At 60.6% G+C, this 13,740-nt stretch overlaps 2 long non-coding RNA genes across 2 annotated transcripts, besides 1 other annotated feature; one reads left to right on the plus strand and one right to left on the minus strand.

Annotated features, from left to right (window-relative positions):
* Positions 1-2,260: 2,260 nt before the first annotated feature.
* On the minus strand, positions 2,261-3,350 carry LINC01678 (long intergenic non-protein coding RNA 1678). Its single transcript, NR_146631.1, has 2 exons — positions 3,313-3,350; positions 2,261-2,842 (listed from the first exon to the last, which is right to left on the minus strand). It is a non-coding gene; the product is annotated as a long intergenic non-protein coding RNA 1678 (long non-coding RNA).
* Positions 3,288-3,596: an enhancer, noted in NCBI's record as "active region_18265". NCBI's record gives its function as "activates an Ori minimal core promoter by ATAC-STARR-seq in GM12878 lymphoblastoid cells {active_cell/tissue: GM12878}" and the evidence as "EXISTENCE:reporter gene assay evidence [ECO:0000049][PMID:35858748]".
* On the plus strand, positions 5,690-8,319 carry LOC124905035 (uncharacterized). Its single transcript, XR_007067899.1, has 2 exons — positions 5,690-6,887; positions 6,943-8,319. It is a non-coding gene; the product is annotated as an uncharacterized LOC124905035 (long non-coding RNA).
* The last annotated feature ends 5,421 nt before the right edge of the window (positions 8,320-13,740 follow it).

Raw genomic sequence — 13,740 nt, forward strand, 5'->3', positions numbered from 1 at the left:
GAGATTCACCCCACGCCCCCAAACCACCAGAGATTCACCCTCCCACAGTTATGGTGCCAGAAGTCCAAGGTCAAGGTGTGAGCAGGGCTGGCCCCCGAGGCCGTGAGTGGGGTCTGTCCCAGGCCGCTCCTGGCTTTGTGGCCTGAGGTCTTCCGTGCTTCTTGGCTGGCGGAAGCACTGCCACGGCCTCGGCCCCGTGTCATGTGGCCTGTTCTCTCTCTGTGTGTCTGGGTGGGTCAGGGCCCACCCAGCTGACCTTGCTTTAACCTCGTTACCTCTGTGCAGACCCTGCCTCCAAATAAGGTCACACTCACAGGTCTGGGGTCAGGACCTCAACACATGGCTGTGGGGGACACAGTTCAGCCCAGGAGGGAAACTGAGGCACGAAATGGGGTGCATTTCCTGAGGCCCCATGGCTCATAAGGAGACGAGGGGCTGCGGGTTGGGGTCCCAGATGCCCTCTCAACACAGCAGCCACCATCCTGGCTAGTCCCAGGCCCTCCTGGGTCCCCCGTCTTTACTCAGGGTGGCCCTGTGTGCCTGGCCTGTCCTCAGGTCACCCTGACTCTAGTATGGGACACCCCACCTCAGAGGGCACCTCCTCGGGGTTGGGTTATGGTTTTTTTAAGTCTCTTGGAACGCCCCCCCGATGGCGTGGGCCCAGCTGTTGAGGAGGTGGGGCTGTGGTCTTGGCTGACGGTGCGGTGCCCGCATACCTGACCTGGTTAGGACCTCCAATCTGGAATTGCTACTGACTCAGTTTCCCCACATGGAAGCCACCCCTCATGCCAGCGACGGGCCTTCTTTTCTGTCCCCTGCTGTGGCCTCCCTGGCGGGTCTTCTGCACCCTGTGTGGCCTGGGTTCTTGGCCCCAGGGGAAAAGGGGGCTCCTGCTGGGGGCAGAGAGGGAGGGGCAGGGCAGGGCCCGGAGAGAGATCTCAGGATTGTCTTCGGATGGCACGGCCTGGTCCCTCAGGTTCTGATCATTTTCTTCATTTTCACGACTCCCTGCACTTTCTGGTTTTGGGTGAGGCCAATAGCAGAAGTATTAAAATATTCCTCCTTGGGCGTCTCATGGTGTTTCTGATCTGGGCTGAAACAGGAAGCTCTGTGAGCTGATGTGGCACCGGAAGTCTCTGGGAGCCTGGGCTGTGATCCGGCCCAGCCCACCCTGGTGGGGAACGCGTCCTGGGGACCGTGCTGGGTTTTGGGAAAACACTGGGTCACCCTCTCCCATTGAAAGATGGCCTGGGGGAGCTGGGTCCTGTCTACGTGAGTTTGCCGGGGCCGCCTCGCACACACCGTGGCCAGGTGCTCCCACAGCAGATGTGGGTTCTCTCCAGTCCTGGGGGCGTCCCGGGTTGAGGTGCGGCGTGGCTGTTACGAGGCCTCTCCTTGCAGGCAGGCGGCACCACCTCCCTGTGTCCTTGCGTGGCCGCCCCTCCTGCGTGTCTGTGTCCTCCTCTTTTAAGGACGCCGGTAGGTCAGGTCAGAGCCCACCCTGGTAACCTTGTTTCACCTTTGTCGCCTCTGTAAAGACCCTGTGTCTGAATACAGGCGGATCCTGAAGTCGGGACTTCACTCTGTGAATTTGGGGGACGCAGTGCAGCCCATAACCTTATCTTTTGTGTGTGTGTGTGTGTGTGTTTTAAATCTGTATGAGGGCTGATGGCAAAGCAGTTAGCTGTGTTGTGTAGACAACGCCGTGGCCAGAACAGAGCTTGTTCTCGGGCAAAAGGAGAGTGAGGAAGCTGAGCAGGGATGGCGTCCCAGAGGCCTCGGAGGCCCTGACATGGTCCAGGAGGCCCCAGGAAGGCTCTTGCTGTCCCTAAGCCCAGAGGTTTTCAGGGGTCTATGTGAATTGTCACTTTTTTTCTTTTTCTTTCTCTTTTCCTTTTTTTTTCTTTTTTTTTTTTTTTTTGAGACAGAGTCTCACTTTGTTGCCCAGGCTGGAGTGCAGTGGTGCGATCCTAGTTCGTTGGAACCTCCGGCCTCCTGGGTTTATGTGATTCTTCTGCCTCAGCCTCCCCAGTAGCTGGGACTACAGGTGCCCACCACCATGCCCGGCTAATTCTGTTTTTGTTTTGTTTTGTTTTGTTTTGTTTTGTTTTTTTAGGAGAGATGGGATTTCACCCTGTTGGCCAGGCTGCTCTTGAACTCCTGACCTTGGGTGATCCACCTGCCTCGGCCTCCCAAAGTGCTGGGATCACAGGCATGAGCCACCACGCCCGGCCCACATTTCCTTTTTTTAATTGGTAGAATCTATACAAAACACAAGGTTTACCACTTTAGCCACTTTAAAGAGCTCACTTGGTGTCCCCAAGGGCCCGTGGTGCCACCACTGCCAGTGCACAGGCCCGGCCCCTCCCCCGCCAGGCCTGTCTCTAAGGCCTTGCCCACCCACCCCTCCCCCTACCCAGGCCTGTCTGTCTCTAAGGCCCGCTGTGGCCACACGTGGACCCCACACCCTGGAGAACCTGGGCTTGTCCTTGGAGGAAGTAATAACAAAGAGCCCACCTGGTCGTGGATCCCAGCTCTGCACCAATGGCCGTGAGACCGGGGCCCCTGCCTCAGTTTCCTCATCTGTCAGTGAGCCTGGACCAGGGTAGTGAGGTAGTGTGGGAGGCCATTGCAGTCCTGGGCACAGCCCTGGGGGCCAGGAGACGCCTCCATCAGCCGTGGGCCCAGGCGCTGCCAGCAGCAGGGCAGTCCCTGAGGGTCTCCCCCGGAGCACTCCAGACCCCCTTCCCCTCCGGATCCCCGCACGCCTCCGCTCCTCAGCAGATGACAGGCCAGCTGCTCTCCTGGGCTGGTTCTGCAGCGCCGACTGAGGTGAGGGCTCCTGTGCAGGTGACACGAAGGAGGGATGTGCAGATGAGGGGACAGGTGAGGGGCAGGGCAGGGCCTCCCTTAACCCACCCCCTATGGCCCTGGCACAGAGGTTCCAGTACCTGCGCTCCAGGGGCAGGGCCTCCCTTAACCTGCCCCCCATGGCCCAGGCACAGAGGTTCCAGTACCTGGGCTCCAGGCAGAGTGTATCTAGCACCCCAGAGACCGAGGCGGGCTGTACCGTTGGCTGCTGGGAGCGAGAGCCCTGGCTGGGTAGGCAGGGGACGGGGAGGGGAGAGCATGAGGGGACCCTCCCAGCAGCCTCTGCATGCGGGCAGCCGGCCTGCCACCCTGGGCAAGCGGGAGGGGCTGCCTTGCCAAGGGACCCTCACAGATGAGGTGTGAGGGACAGAGACCCCCGACGGCTGCTGGAGGCACCCACGGGGCTCCCTGGAGCCTCCCTGTGGTCCTGGGTCCCCTTACCCGATTGTTGCAGGAGGGGCCAGCACAGGGCAGGTGCCTGAAGAGCAGGTGCCGGAAGAGCTACCGCAGCCCAGGCAGCAGGGGAGGAAGTCAGTCTCCCTCGGGGGGGTTTCCAGACAGGGGCCGCTTTTGTTGAGGGCACAGAATGTCTCCAAAAGGTCGGTTCGTTATCACGAGTCACCAGAGAGAGGGGAACGGAGAGAGGAACGCCGCAGCCTCCAGTTCCCCTTCAGCTCTGTGCCCAGGAGCAGTGGCTGGGTGAGGGTGGGAGCCAGGCTCCCCGAGAGGGCAGCAGCGGAGGCTGCACCGTCCCTGTCCTGCCTCTGCCCCTGCCCTGTCCTGCCCTGAGTCCCTGCCCCCTCCTTGTCCTGCCTCGTATCCCTGCCCCCTCCCTGTCTTGCCCCGCATCCCTGCCCTGTCCGTGTCCCTGCCCCTGTCCCTGCCCCTGCCCTGCCCCTCTCTGTCCTGCCCCACGTCCCTGCCCCTCTCCCTGCCCTGCCCCACGTCCCTGCCCCGTCCCTGTCTTGCCCCATGTCCCTGTCCCTGCCCCACGTCCCTGTCCCTGCCCCACGTCCCTGCCCTCATCCCTGTCCTGCCCTGCATCCCTGCCCTGCCCCTGCGCCTGTCCTGTCCCGTGTCCCGCCCCGTCCCTGCCCCTGTCCTGCCCTGCGTCCCTGCCCCATCCCTGTCCGTACCCCTGTCCTATCCCGCATCCCTGCCCCTGTCCCTGCCCCTGCCCTGCCCCTCTCTGTCCTGCCCCACGTCCCTGCATGGGTCCTGGGCCTCAGCACCAGGTTCTGGGCCCGCTTCCTTGCAGCCCCTTCCCCAGAGCCCACCAAAGACCCGAATCCTCACACTCTCGGGACAGGTAGCTGTGGGTGGCTGAGAGGGACTGGCCCCTCCCTGGCCAAGTCCACAATGTCAGGACCCTTGCTGCCCTCCTGCTTCGGGCTCAGCCCCAATGCCCCCGATTTGAAGTGAAGCTGCCCAGTGCCCTCTCTGGGGCCCTCCCAGGAGATGCAGGCTGGAGGGGCTGCCCTGGAAAGCCCTTCCTTTCCCTAGAGAGGTCCCCGCCCTGAGAGGGAAGGGCCCGGGCGATGATTCCAGGCTGGGAGGAGGAAGGCGCGTGCCAAGCGCTCCTCGGAGTTGATGCCCCATGGCGTAATGTGCAGCTGCTGCTGGAGAAGAGATGCAGGCAGATTACTGAACCCTGAGAAATGAAAAAGCATGATCGCGGTCTTGCCAGCATAGGCGGCCGTGGTCCGTGCTTGCAAGTCTGAGGGCGGAGGAGCCCGCCGCCCGCTTCTCATGGGCCCACCCCTGTGATCCAGCATCTGTAAAACTCCCTGGGAGGCCACAGCCTGCCCTGGCCCAGCCCCTGGGACCGCGAGGGCCGTGTGATACTTTCTCCAGTGGCATTTACAGAAAACTTCCCTCTGCCCTACCATTTTAGTTGGCTTTGGGATAGTTTGCAGTATTTCCTGATTAAAATAATGTTGAGAAGAACATTTGGGCCTCTGAGGCCTTTTCCCTAGGGTATTTTCTGAGAAATGACAGAGATTCAAGGGCTGTGAACATTTTGTAGCCATGTTGTGTTATAGAAAAGCATGTGCGTTCCCACATGCGGGCTGCTCTTCTGTGGGATTCTTCAGACTGGACATGCGGTGCGGGGCTGGACATGCAGTTGGGGGGGCTGGACACGCATTGGGGGGCTGGACACACGGCAGGGGGGCTGGACACGCGGGGGGGCCGGACACGCGGCGGGGGGGCTGGACACGCGGTTGGGGTGCTGGACATGCGGTGGGGGGCTGGACACGGGGGCTGGACACGTGGCGGGGGCTGGACACGCAGGGGGGCTGGACACAGCAGGGGGCTGGACACGCAGCAGGGGGGCTGGACACGCGGCAGGGGGCTGGACACGCGGCAGGGGGCTGGACACGCGGCAGGGAGGCTGGACACGTGGCGGGGGGCTGGACACGCGGCAGGGGGGCTGGACACGTGGCGGGGGGCTGGACACGTGGCGGGGGGCTGGACACACGGTGGGGGGGCTGGACACTCACTCGGGGCCTGGATACATGTGGAGGTCTGGGCAGGCAGGGGCCTGTGTGTCAGGTGCCCATGGCATATGGTATGAGCCCTGCTTTTCTTTTCTTCTTTTCTTTTTTTTTTCGAGACAGAGTTTTGCTCTTGTTGCCCAGACTGGAGTGCAATGGTGCAATCTTGGCTCACTGCAACCTCCGCCTCCTGGGTTCAAGGGATTCTCCTGCCTCAGCCTCCCGAGTAGCTGGGATTACAGGTGCCTGCTACCACACCCAGCTCATTTTTGTATTTTTAGTAGAGACGGGGTTTCACCATGTTGGCCAGGCTGGTCTTGAACTCCTGACCTCAGGAGATCCACCGGCCTCGGCCTCCCAAAGCGCTGGGATTACAGGTGTGAGCCACCGTGCCCGGCTAAGCCCCGCTTTTCTAGATCTTGGGCTGGGGGAGAAAAAGGAAGCCGTTTCCTCTCCACTCCCAGGGCCCAGGGAAAGGGAGGTGGTCCTGGCCCCCTGGGGAGGGCAGGACTTTGGTTGTAGGGTTGGCCCCCAGAGCCAGGGGTGGAAAGGGTCTCCAGGGGAGCTGGTGGGTCCTTCCCCGCTGGGCTCTGCTCAGCCTGTGGTGGCCACGTGGCAGGGGCCCCATCCCAGACCTTCAGCCACTGCCAGCCCGGCCAGCCTGCGTCTGACGATGTCAGTTCTCTCGGGTTTCCTTGATCAGGCTTCCTCAATGCCCAGAGCTTTGGGATACTTCGTGGTGGCTCTCCGGGATCCAGGTGGCCACCGTCCTCCCTGGCTCTCTGTGTTGCCCACTCCTGAGGCCCTGGCTCCTGGATGCTTCAGCCTACGTGTGCCTCCTCGCTCTGTTTTCGTGGGTGCTACCCCTACGCAGGGCCCACCTCCTGGCTTCAGCCCCTGCCCACTCTTTGAGCAGGGGTGGATCTCCCCAACACTCTGGCCCACACAGCTGTGCTTGCGGCCAAATGACACAGGCGCGGCAGAGACTCTTGGAGCCTCTTCTTGAGGGGGACTCAACCTTGGGCTTCCATGTGCAACCCTGCCGAGTCCAACGGAGCAGGAACCCAGAGTCAGGTCAGAGAGAATCCCACCCCGATGTCTGAGCTCCAGGAGCAGATCAGACCTCAGTCCTCGACGCCTTCAGCAGGATGCCCCGGCCCTGCCGCACCCTCCTGGTGATTTTCCAGCCACGGACCCCCTCACTTCTCGGCTGTGAACCCCCCTTGTCCTGCTGCACCCAACATAGAGCCCGTCTCTCCCTCACTGCGGGAGTCCATAATGAAGTCTTCCTTGCCATTACGATAAGCACCAGGATAATTTTTCCTTAACAGGTTCTCTCTAGACTGGATCAGGGACAGTCTTGGCTGTAAATTGTGAATTAGCTGTGACTCTGCCACCCACGGTTGCCCGCCAGAGTTCTTTCTAAATGTTCTATCTGAGCCTGGCCGTTGCTCCTGGCTCTGGAGGTGCCAGAGTTTCTGAACGTTAATCTGAGCCTGGCCGTTGCTGCTGGCTCTGGAGGTGCCAGAGTTTCTGAACGTTAATCTGAGCCTGGCCGTTGCTGCTGGCTCTGGAGGTGCAGTCACACCACCCTGGCTGACACGCCTCGGCCTGACCTGCAGTCTCACCCCACAGAAGGATCTGGGGTGAACGTCTGGCTCCAGGCACTGTTGCAGGGCTGTTGGGTCCTGTGTCTGAGCCCACAAAGGCTTCCTGGGAGCGGCATCGCCAGCCCTGTGGACCCTGCTCCCTATGGGCTTCTGGGTATAGATCAGGTGCCCAGCATGCGCCCCCAGACAGGAGCTGCCCTCTGCCCTGCCTCTGGGACCCACTTTCACCCAAGTCCTGTGGGACTGGCATAGCCTAGGGCCCGGGTGCTGGCAGCGTCTGGCTGGAGCCTGGGGCGGGGCAGGGCAGGGCCTTCCAGGCGCGTTCCCGAGCGTGCACTGAAGGTGTTAGCGCGTGGCACCGGAGACACCAGGCTGGATGAGGCTGGACAAGCGCCTCCGCCAGAAGCAGCACAGGCCTGACACAGGCAAACCTCCCGGAGACCACCCCACGGACCCCAGCCCCTGCTGACCCTCCCAGGAGGCGTTGCTGGAAATCCACCCTGAGAATTCTGCTCCAGGAGCTGAACCAGCAGTATCAGCATCTTAAAGCACTGACCTACCTCTCGGCTGTGTGATATCTAGGGGTCCGTCCCAGACCAGCATCCCCAGGGCTGACGGGTCTGCAGGGCACAGAGATGTGGGACCTGCTGTGTCTCTGCCCCACAGTGGCCATGCTGGGACACAGAGCTGCTGCTTGGGGAAGGGACAGATTCAGACACAGTAGTGGGTTAACCTGAGGCCCTCTCAAAAGACATGTCCACCTAGAACCTCGGGAAGGGACACGTCCGCCTGGAACCTCGGGAAGGGACGCGTCCGCCTGGAACCTCGGGAAGCGACGCGTCCGCCTGGAACCTCGGGAAGGGACGCGTCCGCCTGGAACCTCGGGAAGGGACGCGTCCGCCTGGAACCTCGGGAAGGGACGCGTCCGCCTGGAACCTCGGGAAGGGACGCGTCCGCCTGGAACCTCGGGAAGGGACGCGTCCGCCTGGAACCTCGGGAAGGGATGCGTCCGCCTGGAACCTCGGGAAGGGATGCGTCCGCCTGGAACCTCGGGAAGGGACGCGTCCACCTGGAACCTCGGGAAGGCCTTTGCAGATGTGATCGAGTTAAGGATCTCAAGATTCAAGATAAGGTCACCCCAGGTTGCCTGCCTGGGCCCTGAGTCCAGTGGCGTGTCCTGGAGGGAGACCAGCAGAGGTGGAGGGCACGTCCATGGGCTGAGAAGGGCAGGACTGTGACAGGAGGGAGGTGCAGGGCGGATCCCCAGAGCCACTGCCTCCCCACGCTTGACCTCAGGCTCCTGGCCCCAGAACCATGAGGGAATAAACTGTCCTTTTAAGCCCTCTGCTGTGTGATGATTGGCAGTGCCAGCAATGGGAGCTGATACAGACCCTGATCGGGGACCCAGACACCTGGCAGCTTGGGCTGGGCCCCTTCGAGTTAAAGCTGGCCTTGCTGCTACCTGTCCCTCGCTGAGTCCTCGCTGCGCACTGTGGCTGCACCTGGCAAGCACAGGGAGCCCCTGGGGTCCTGTGGGTGCAGACATGGGTCCCTCGGTCTGGGTGGCTGAGATGGAGCCCCTCCCCAGTTCCGGGGAGCACTGGGCCGGGGACCACCCATGAGTGGTGAGTATCTCTCCCGCTGCACCTTGAGGTCACCCAGGAACCTTCAGAAGTGCTGATGCGGGGACCCCGCTCCCCACTGTCCAGGGTGGACTGGCTAGGCGGTGGCCTGGGCATCGGGACACATTACAGCTCTCCAGGGAGCGCGGTGTGCAGCCAGGATGGAACCCGTGGTCCTGGTGCTGAGGATGGCGGGTGCCTGCCTCCATCTCCGTGGGCCAGCCTTCGGGGCCCCGTTTCCTGGAGCAGCGAGGGCTTCACGTGGCTGTTGAGCTGCAGAAGGAGGGGCCCTCCCGGCACCCCATTCAGAGCCAGCGGAGGAATCTGAAGGCATGGGGAGGGCGGGGTGGAGCCGAGGTTGCAGAGAGGCTGGACCCTGAAGCCTCAGGAGTTCAACTGGCACGGGGTGCGGGGAGTGGCAGCCGGGAAGCCGGCCTGGGGCTTTCTCCTCTCGGCCTCCTTTGCTGGCGTCTCAGGTGGAGGGGCCTGTGTGGCAGGCGGGTGGCCTGAGGGTGAGGGGCCTGTGTGGCAGGCGGGTGGCCTGAGGGTGAGGGGCCTGTGTGGCAGGCGGGTGGCCTGAGGGTGAGGGGCCTGTGTGGCAGGCGGGTGGCTTGAGGGTGAGGGGCCTGTGGGGCGGGCAGGTGGCCTGAGGGTGAGGGGCCTGTGGGGCGGGCGGTGGCTGCAGCGTGGAGATTGTTGTCAGCACAGAATTGTGGCACCAGTTGTTGAGACGCAGTGACAGGCAGATGACTGGCCAGGCAGTGACAGGCAGATGGCTGCCCAGGCAGTGACAGGCAGATGGCTGCCCAGGCCGCGGCCTTGTCTGCACCTGCCTGAGCATGCAGAGAGGCCCCCACACTGGTCACCCAGGGTCCGGGTGTGCCCACAGATGCTGCCCCCGCGCTGTGGGCAGCCCTGGCCCAGGCAGGTTCTCTGGAGCTGCTCCCGCCCAGTGCAGGCCGTGTGCAGGACCTTTGTTTATCCCCCTGGATGTTGAACTTGGCCAGCGTACGGCACTGAAACAAAGGCCCTGACTGCTGCCTGAACCCGCCCCGGGCTCACTTCCATGCCCAGGCCTGCGGGAGGGGCTGGGGTGTGCAGGAGAGTTGGGCGTTGGGAGGCCACCCCACCGCGTGCCTGCAGTGCCCTCTTCTCGGCCCCAGTCCCCAGCATATCCATGGGGTGCCTTCCAGTGTGGGTTTCGGGAACCTCCACATTCCAGCCTGGAGTCCTGGCCATGGGGAAGGGACGCCCACTGTGCTCATCCCGTGCGGCCGCCTCGTGCCCATCAGAGGCTGCACCAAACCCCGTGCGCCCTCTGGGCGATCAGAGCCGGAGGCCTCAAGTGGCCCAGCCCTGCTGGCTGCTGCGGGACCTCAGCTGCTGTGGGGCAGGCGTCTATGGGTTCCCAGGGCCCTCCCCTCCCCACAGGGGTGTGAGGAGGTGCAAAGGGGATGCCTCCTGGCCTGACCCCACGGCCAGACCAGTCCTGTGTGTCCTGAGTGAGGACGCCTATCCCTGAGCCCCAGAAACGCACCAGGAGGCAGGTGTGAGACGGCTGTGTCCCCAGCTCCTGCTGCAGTTGGCCCACAGCGGGCCCCTACGAGGCTGGGCGGTGAGGGGACGGCTCGGACCGCCCGCGCCCCAGGACCCCTGTGTCGGCCTCATCCTGCGCCTCAGCCCCAAACCCTGCAGCTCCCGGGACCCTGGCACCCGGTCACCCTCCACAGCGCCACGGGGCTCCTCTGACCCCACCCTTGTTGCCAGCCCAGCCGGAGTCTGACTTCTCCGTGGTGCCGCCCCCACCCCCGGGAATGACATGCCGGGGCGGTGGAGCCAGGCCCTGGGCCCGGGGGCAGGACAGGCAGGGACCATGAGCAGCTCCACAGAAACCCTTCCCCAGGGCTTCAGGGGCCAGGCGGGACCCCCACTTCCGGGAGGAGACCCCAGTGCCCCTCACGCTCAGGGGTGCGGTGGGTGGAGAGATTCGGAGGGGAGAGCTGGGGGCTCCGGAGGAGGGGCTGTGGGTGGGACCCCATCCCCCTCTGGCTGCAGCAGGCAGTGAAGCTGCATCAGGGGCTCCACCCTGCTGACCACAGTCCTGGGGCACCCAGTGGAGGCCGGAGACACCAGCAGGTTCTCCTGGTCACATGGCCCCACCTGCCCTGTCCCCCAGAGCCCCCCAGGCTTGGGATGAGTTGCGAGGGGTCGGATGGACGGCGCAGGACACACGACACAGAGTAGTTGTGGCGGTTGCCCCTAGGGAGACGTGGAGAGAGGCCCCAGGGCACCCTGGAAGCGGAGGCTGTGGCTCCGTGTGTCCCAGGGCACAGCACCGCCCCTCACAGCCGAAGCTCTGATCCCTTGGTCTCAGGAAACACTCAGGAAGTGCAGGGCGGGCGTGGGTCTGATTTCAGGGTGAGGGAGCTGGCAGCCCCAGGAGTGAGGAGGCCCCAGTCCCCTTTCACCAAGCCCGTCCTCCCCTTCCCGCTGCCACGACACTGGTGCCTGCAGCCGTGCCAGCTAGGAGGGCGACGTGGACAGGATTTCTCTCTAGAAAGGATCCTGGGGTCCGATTGAGAAGCTGGCTTGAACGTTAGACGCTGTAGCTCAGAGCACTGGGTATGCACCCAGAAGGAGAAGTGCTCATCACATGGTAATTCTTTTGTTTTGTTTTTTTAAGAAAAAGGTCTCACTCTTTGCCCAAAGCAACTTTCTTATTTATCTTTGCATCTTAAGAGTCTAAAACAATGACTGGCATGAAGTATACAAACTATACATCGCCTAGTAAGTGGATAAAACGATTAATTAATTTGCCCAACATTCAAAACGTGATGGGGTGGGATTCACAGCCATGACTTCTCATTGCAACGCTCAAGCTCCTTGTGCTGCTCCACGCCGCCTTTCGGTACACGAGAAGCTGAGGATCCACGCCGCCTTTCCGTACATGAGAAACTGTAGGATCCACGCCACCTTTCAGTAGAGAAGCTGTAGGATCCACACCGCCTTTCCGTACACGAGAAGCTGTAGGATCCACGCCGCCTTTCCGTACACGAGAAGCTGTAGGATCCACGCCACCTTTCAGTAGAGAAGCTGTAGGATCCACACCGCCTTTCCGTACACGAGAAGCTGTAGGATCCACGCCGCCTTTCCGTACACGAGAAGCTGTAGGATCCACGCCACCTTTCAGTAGAGAAGCTGTAGGATCCACACCGCTTTTCAGTACACGAGAAACTGTAGGATCCACGCCACCTTTCAGTACACGAGAAACTGCAGGACAAATGACCGTATGCCCAGGTTCCAATGGCAAAACGCCACACCTCTTATGATACTATCTTTGTGCACATAAAATGTTCATTTTTGTCTAATAAATAAGTGACTTGTAATTAGTAAGTGATTGCTCAATGACTTAAAACCTACAATATCTCTAATTTCTTCTAATGGAAACTTCTGAGGCCATTTAGGGACATCCACAGATAGCGAACAGCGACATTGGAAAGAGGACATTGAGTGTGGGGAAGTCTGCACAGTTCCACCTGTTGGATTGTTTGATGTGTGGTGGTGCAGACATGGACACGATCCATCTTGGTTTTTTTGTTTTGTTTTGTTTTTGAGATGATGTCTCACTCTGACACACAGGCTGGAGTGCAGTGGCTCGATCTCGGCTCACTGCAAGCTCCTCCTCCCAGGTTCAAGCAATTCTCCTGTCTCAGCCTCCTGAGTAGCTGGGACTACAGTCACATGCCACCATGCCCGGCTAATTTTTGTATTTTTAGTGGAGACGGGGTTTCATCATATTGGCCAGGCTGGTCTTGAACTCCTGACCTCAGGTGATCGGCCCGCCTCGGCCTCCCAAAGTGCTGGGATTATAGGCGTGAGCCACCGTGCCTGGCCAACACTATCCATTCTAAAGAGGGTTCATGCTCTTCGACCCCAACAAAGAACGGTTTCCTTTGCGGTCGTGGATGGGTAAGAAATCAGCCTTGACCACCTAAGGGCGTAGCAGGGCTTCTGCATTAGGTGACAATTTTAATAATCCTCTGTTTTCCGTTCACACTTAGGAGTCTGTTTCTGCCCTGGGACAAGGACCCAGAGGCCACTTTGACGTTATAGAGCAGGCTGTGTCCTCCGTCATCCTGCTGTAGGGAGTGTTGTCAGCTTTCCCACCACCACTGGCATCTGGAAAGCTTGGTCTGTTTGTAGTGACAGGTCCGATTGCAGGGAACCAGGAGCGTGTCTGATGCATGAGGGCAGAGTTTCTACCCAGTTACCTGCAGTGTGGAGACGAGAGACGCGATCTAACCCTGCAAACACTTTTGAAAAAAAACTAGTGTATAAAAAGGAATTAGGGAATCAAACCTTTCTTAAGGGGCACAGAATAAGACAGTATACACCAGTGTGACCGAAGTTTTTATTTCTGCTGAAGAATTCAGCTAAAGTGCAGCTGCATGATCATAGCTCACGGGAACCTGGGTCTCCTGGGCTCAAGCAAGCCTCCCAGCCCAGCCTCCCACGTAGCTGGGACTACCGGTGGCCATCACCATGGCTGGTTAAGTTTTCATTTTTTTGTAGAGACAGAATTTTGCCATTTTGCCCCGGCTGGTTGCGAACTCCTGGCTTCAAGTGATCCTCCTGCCTCGGCCCCCAAAGTGCTGGGATTACAGGTGCCAGCCACCGCCCCTGGCCTGGCAGTTCTATTTGAATTGTTTTAGGGACTGCCATCCTGCTTCCCACGGTGGCAGCACTGTTTTACACTCCTGCCAGCAGCACCCAAGGGGTCTGGTTCTCCACATCCTTGCCCGCACTTGTGATTTTCTGTGTTTTGATAATAGCCATCCCGATGTGTGCGTGTTGTGAAAACTGTGATGTACGTAGAAAAGTGTAAAGAATAAGAGTGTGGACGCCCAGCCCGTCCCCTCAGGAAACGCTTGAAAGGCACCCAACCTCTTTCAGGATCCGTGTTCCATTCGCATTATTTTTTCATGCACCATTTTTGAACACAAGTTGCAGACATTTGAACACTGGCCCTAAAAACATCAATCAGCAAACTTCTGGGAATGAGGACACTCCCCGCGTCGCCGCCATCACAACAAGGCCTTCGGAAAACTCCACACAGCATCTAGCCTCCCACTCGCGCTCGGA

The sequence above is a fragment of the Homo sapiens genome, chromosome 21 (genome assembly GCF_000001405.40).
Source record: "Homo sapiens chromosome 21, GRCh38.p14 Primary Assembly".
Lineage (NCBI taxonomy): Eukaryota > Metazoa > Chordata > Mammalia > Primates > Hominidae > Homo > Homo sapiens.